Source organism: Homo sapiens, chromosome 14 (assembly GCF_000001405.40).
Source record: "Homo sapiens chromosome 14, GRCh38.p14 Primary Assembly".
NCBI classification, from domain to species: Eukaryota; Metazoa; Chordata; class Mammalia; order Primates; family Hominidae; genus Homo; species Homo sapiens.
In genome coordinates this window covers 20,209,298-20,215,392 of record NC_000014.9, presented here as the reverse complement: position 1 = coordinate 20,215,392, position 6,095 = coordinate 20,209,298, and the positions used below count along the sequence as shown (strand labels likewise).

Sequence of the window (6,095 nt, the reverse complement as noted above, 5' to 3'; positions counted from 1 at the left end):
AGGCTGTAGTTAGCTGTGATTGCATCACTGCATTCCAGCCTGGGAGTCAGAATGAGACACTGTCTTGAAAAAAAGTATAAAAAACCAAAACTTTCTAAATTTGACAATTAGAAATAAGAGTTTTAAAATGCCCATTTCTCTCTCTAGTGTATTGCCAACAAAACAGTCAGGGGGATAATTCTTTTATAATGTAAATAAGAGTATGTTACTTCCCTGCTCAAAACCTCCCAAATGCTTCTCATCTTATGCAGAATTACATATAAAACATAAATAAAATAAATTGAAGAAGACACAAATAAACAGAAAGATATCTTGTGTTCATGAATTAAAAGCATTAATATTGTTAAAATGTCCAGACTACCCAATGTGATTTCCAGAGTCAATGTAATCCCTATTAATCCCTGTCATACCAATGACAGCCTTCAGAGAAATAGAAAACACAGCCCTAAAATCCATATGGAATCACAAAATCCCTCAAATAGTAAGGCAGTTATGAACAGAAAGAACGAAGCTGAGGCATCACACTGATTTCAAACTATACAACAAAGTAATAGTAATTAAAACAGCATGTCAATTAAAATTAGTGTAAAAAAGACTCATCAACCAATAGAAAAGAATAGAGAGCTCAGAAGTGAACCTATGCATGGTCAATTGATTTCTGACAAAGGTGTCAAAAATACACATTGGGAAAAGGACAGTCTCTTTAATAATGGTATTGGGAAAACTGCATATTCATATGTACAAGAATGAAATTGGATTCTTATTTCACTCTATATAAAAAAAATCAAGTCAAAATGGATTAAAGACTTGGACATAAGACCGGAAACTCTAAGCAATGAGAAGGCAACATAGGGGAAACACTACCCAATATTGATTTGGGCAATGATTGTACAGATTTGACCTCCAAATACAGACAACAAAAGCAAAAATAAACAAATAGGATCATGTCAGTATAGCTCTAATCTGCAAAGGAAACAATTGATAGAATGGAGAGATAACTACAGACTGGGAGAAAGTATTTGAGGCCATACATCTGATAGGGGTTAATATCCAAATCCATAAAGAACTCAAACAACTCTATAGAGAGAAAACAAATAATCAGATTAAAAAATGGGCAGTGGCCCTGAATAGACATTTCTCAAAAAAAGACACACAAATGGCCAACAGGTATATGAAAATTGCTCACCATCGCTAATAACTAGGAAAATGCAGATTAAAACCACAATGAGATTTCACCTCACAGCTATCAGAATGGCTGTTATAATAAAAGACAAAAGATAACAGGTGTTGATGAGAATGTGAAGAAAAGAGAGCCCTTTCACACAGTTGGTGAGAATGTCAATTAGTACTGTCATTATGAAAAACTGTATGGAGCTTCCTCAGAAAACTAAAAATAGAATTACTATATGATCTAGCAATCCCAGTTTTGGGTATTTGCCTAAATGATTTGAAAGCAGTATGTCAAAGAGATGTCTGCTCTCCTATGTTCCTTGCAGCCTTATTCACAATAGCTGAGTTATGGAATCAACCTAAATGTCCATCAACAGATAAATGGATAAAGAAAATGTGGTGTATGTACATAGTGGAATACTATTCAGCCTTAAAAAGAGGGAAATTTGGTCATTTGTGACAACATGGATGGAAATGGAGAACATTATGCTAAGTGAAACAGGGCAAGCATAGAAAGACAAATATACCACATGTTCTCACTTATTTGTGGAATCTCCAAATTTCAAACTCAAGGAAGCAGGCCAGGGAAGTGGGGTGTGGATAATGGTGAGGCAATGATGGACAAAGGGTGCAAAGCCTCTGGCAGGAGGAATCAGTTTTTTTTTGTTTTTTTTTTTTGGCGATATATTGCCCAGGGTGGTAAACATAGTAAATGATAATGTGTTATAAATTTTAAAATTGCTAAGATGATAAATTTCTTTTTTTTTTTTTTTTCCCAAGGCAGAATAATTTTTCTTAGTACAGAACAAAATGAAAAGTCTCCCATGTCTACTTCTTTCTACACAGACACGGCAACCATCCGATTTCTCAGTCTTTTCCCCACCTTTCCCCCCTTTCTATTCCACAAAACTGCCACTGTCATCATGGCCCGTTCTCAATGAGCCACTGGGCACACCTCCCAGACGGGGTGGTGGCCGGGCAGAGAGGCTCCTCACTTCCCAGTAGTGGTGGCCGGGCAGAGGCGCCCCTCACCTCCCGGATGGGGTGGCTGGCCGGGCGGGGGGGCTGCCCCCCCCACCTCCCTCCCGGACGGGGCAGCTGGCCGGGCAGAGGGGCTCCTCACTTCCCAGTAGGGGCGGCCGGGCAGAGGCGCCCCTCACCTCCCGGACAGGGTGGCTGGCCGGGCGGGGGGACTGACCCCCCCCACCTCCCTCCTGGACGGGGCGGCTGGCCGGGCGGGGGGACTGACCCCCCCCACCTCCCTCCTGGACGGGGCTGCTGGCCGGGCGGGGGGACTGACCCCCCCACCTCCCTCCTGGACGGGGCGGCTGGCCGGGCGGGGGGACTGACCCCCCCACCTCCCTCCCGGACGGGGCGGCTGGCCGGGCGGGGGGACTGACCCCCCCCACCTCCCTCCTGGACGGGGTGGCTGGCCGGGCGGGGGGACTGACCCCCCCCACCTCCCTCCTGGACGGGGCGGCTGGCCGGGCGGGGGACTGACCCCCCCACCTCCCTCCCGGACGGGGCGGCTGGCTGGGCGGGGGGACTGACCCCCTCACCTCCCTCCTGGACGGGGCGGCTGGCTGGGCGGGGGGCTGACCCCCTCACCTCCCTCCCGGACGGGGTGGCTGTCGGGCGGAGACGCTCCTCACTTCCCAGACGGGGTGGCTGCCAGGCAGAGGGTCTCCTCACTTCTCAGATGGGGCGGCCGGGCAGAGACGCTCCTCACCTCCCAGACAGGGTCGCGGCCGGGCAGAGGCTGCAATCTCGGCACTTTGGGAGGCCAAGGCAGGCGGCTGGGAGGTAGAGGTTGTAGCGAGCCGAGATCACGCCACTGCACTCCAGCCTGGGCACCATTGAGCACTGAGTGAACGAGACTCCGTCTGCAATCCCGGCACCTCGGGAGGCCGAGGCTGGCGGATCACTCGTGATTAGGAGCTGGAGACCAGCCCGGCCAACACAGCGAAACCCCGTCTCCACCGAAAAAATACGAAAACCAGTCAGGCGTGGCGGCGCGCGCCTGCAATCGCAGGCACTGGGCAGGCTGAGGCAGGAGAATCAGGCAGGGAGGTTGCAGTGAGCCCAGATGGCAGCAGTACAGTCCAGCTTCGGCTGGGCATCAGAGGGAGACCGTGGAAAGAGAGGGAGACCCTGGGGAGAGGGAGACCGTGGGGAGAGGGAGAGGGAGAGGGAGAGCGATAAATTTCAAATATTCTTGTTTTTTTTTTTTTTTGAGACAGAATCTCACTCTATCACAGGCTGTTGTACAATGGCGCAGTCATGGCTCACTGCAACCTCTGCCTCCCGAGTTCAAGTGATCCTTATGCCTCAGCTTCCTGTGTAGCTGGGATTACAGGCATGCACCACCACACCCAAATAATTTTTGTATTTTTAGTAGGGAGGGGATTTTACCATGTTGGCCAGGCTAATCTTGAACTCCTGGCCTCGGGTGATCTGCCTGCCTCGGCCTCCCAAAGTGCTGGGATTACAGGCGTGAGCCACTGTGCCCGGCCATAGATTTCAAATATTCTCACTACAGAAAATATTTGAGGTGATGGATATGTTAGCTGATTCAATTATTCTGCATTATATTCATAAATCATAACATCACTTTGTTCCCCATACATATACACAACTCTAATTTGTCAATTTATAATTTTTAAAAAAGTTATTACTATAGTTTACAAGGTCCCACAGAATTTGGAATGCTGTTCACTCCCTGACTTCATCTCTATTACTCTTCCCCTTAAATTTTTTTTTTTTTTTGAGATGGAGTCCTGCTCTGTCGTCCAGGCTGGAGTGCGGTGGTGTGATCTCGGCTCACTGCAACCTCTGCCTCCTAGGTTCATGCCATTCTCCTGCCTCAGCCTCCTGAGTAGCTGGGATTACAGGCTCGTGCCACCACACCCAGCTAATTTTTGTATTTTTAGTAGAGACAGGGTTGCACCATATTGGCCAGGCTGGTCTCAAATTCCTGACCTCATGATCCAGCCTCCTCAGCTTCCCAAAGTGCTGGGATTACAGGTGTGAGCCACTGTTCCCAGACTTAAATTCTTTACTCCAGTCAAACCAACCTCCTTGCTGCTACTTGGATACAATCCTGCCTCCAGATCTTTAAGATAATTTGCTTCCCTCTCTTTAGAATGCTCTTCTCTCACTGTCTACATGGCTCATTCCCTCATCCGCTTCAAGCATTTGCTTAAATGTTGCCTTCTCAGTGTAGCCTCTCTGATCATCGTGTTTAACAATGGCAGCTCTTTTCTTTCTCCCACATTTCCTGTCCTCTTTGTCCTTTTTGCATAGCGCTTACTACTCTCTGATATGCTATATATTTTACTTATTTTTTTATCGTCCGTTTCTCCCTTATGTGAGTGTAAATGCCAGGTAGATAGTGGTTTTGATTCTTTTGATCATAGTATATATCTAGTGCCTAGAACATAACAGGTATTCAATTAATATTTGTTGAATGAAAGAATGACCATGATTTTACTATTTTATGTGATGTTAAAACACATGCTGCTTACATAAGCATTAAACTTTCAGTCTGTCCCTTGTCTGTAAGACTTTCAGCCATCAAGAGCCAAGGGGGCAAGAAAACTGCTCTGTTACTAAATCCTTTAGTTCTGTATTCATTAGACATTTAAATTTGATTCTTCATTCACTTTAAAAATATTGAACAGTCTTAAGAAATATCTTAAGCATAACTGCTCTTCTATCTTCCACCCCTGTCTCCAGTAATCAAAACGATACAGTATGAAATAGGACAGATAAAATACCCTCAAATATCATCTACTGGAGTCACCTGTGTTGAAAATATGATTGTTTCATTTGGAATGGAATATGAATCAACTATGGTTTAGCTCTGCCAGGTTAGTTAAGAAATAAAACAATGAGGGACCTCGCTGAGAAAATATCTTCTTTAAAGGGTGTATTGGAGAAGTAGAATCAGAAAATCAGGTATTTCTTAGTTAATCTTTTATGTCTGAACAATGGTTTGCTTGGTCTCATGTAGATGACTTTATTCTCATTCTATCCTCAGGACTTTCTTCAACGCAGCCTTCATCTCTTTGTTTCGTAAGCTGTAAATCAGGGGGTTTAAGAAGGGGGTCACCACAGAATAGAACAAAGTTATAATCTTCTAAATTGCAGCTGGGTTATCAGTTGTGGGGCTCACATACATTGCCAGTAGGGCCCCAAAGAATAAACACACCACTGTCAGATGAGATCCACAGGTGGAAAAGGCCTTCTGCTGGCCAGCTGCTGAAGGGACTTTTAATACAGCTATCAGTAAAGCATATAGGAGCCACAGATGTACAGAAGAGTGAGAATGATAATGAGGGAGCTCAGGATATAGAAGATAATCTCAGTGATAGGAGCTGAGGCACAGGACAGAGCCATCAGTGGGTCCATGTCACACAAAAAGTGATTGATGATGTTGGGCCCACAGAAAGGCAGTTGAGACAGTTGCACAGTGGAGACAGAGTAACTGAGGAATCCAAACACCCAGCAAAAAGACATCAATATGTAGCAGAGTTGTGGGGTCATGATGGTTGGGTAGTGCAATGGGCGGCAGATAGCAAGGTACCGATCATATGCCATGATGCAGAGGAAGTATGCTTCTATTGTACCAAGGGAAGTAAAAAAGTAGAACTGGAGGAAACAGCCAACAAAAGAGATGGTTTTTGTCTCTGAGAGGAAGTTGACTAGCATGTTGGGTACAGTGGAAGTAACTTACCGGATTTCAAGGAAAGCAAAGTTCCCTAGGAGAATATACATTGGGGTATGAAGCCGTTTGTCCAATCTCACAGCACAGACAATGGTCCCATTTCCTATTATGGTAAATACATAGATCACAAAGAACAGGGAGAAGAGGAAACTTTGCATCTCCTGACAACCAGGAAAGCCAAGGAGAACAAATTCCGTCA

General features: G+C 45.5%; 1 pseudogene, besides 1 other annotated feature; it reads right to left on the bottom strand.

The window, feature by feature from the left end:
* Positions 2,770-3,570: an enhancer, noted in NCBI's record as "H3K27ac hESC enhancer chr14:20679982-20680782 (GRCh37/hg19 assembly coordinates)". NCBI's record gives its function as "activates a minimal SCP1, AML or CMV promoter by ChIP-STARR-seq in primed H9 embryonic stem cells {active_cell/tissue: H9 hESC(primed)}" and the evidence as "EXISTENCE:reporter gene assay evidence [ECO:0000049][PMID:30033119]".
* OR11H5P (olfactory receptor family 11 subfamily H member 5 pseudogene) lies at positions 5,197-6,095 on the bottom strand (annotated as a pseudogene).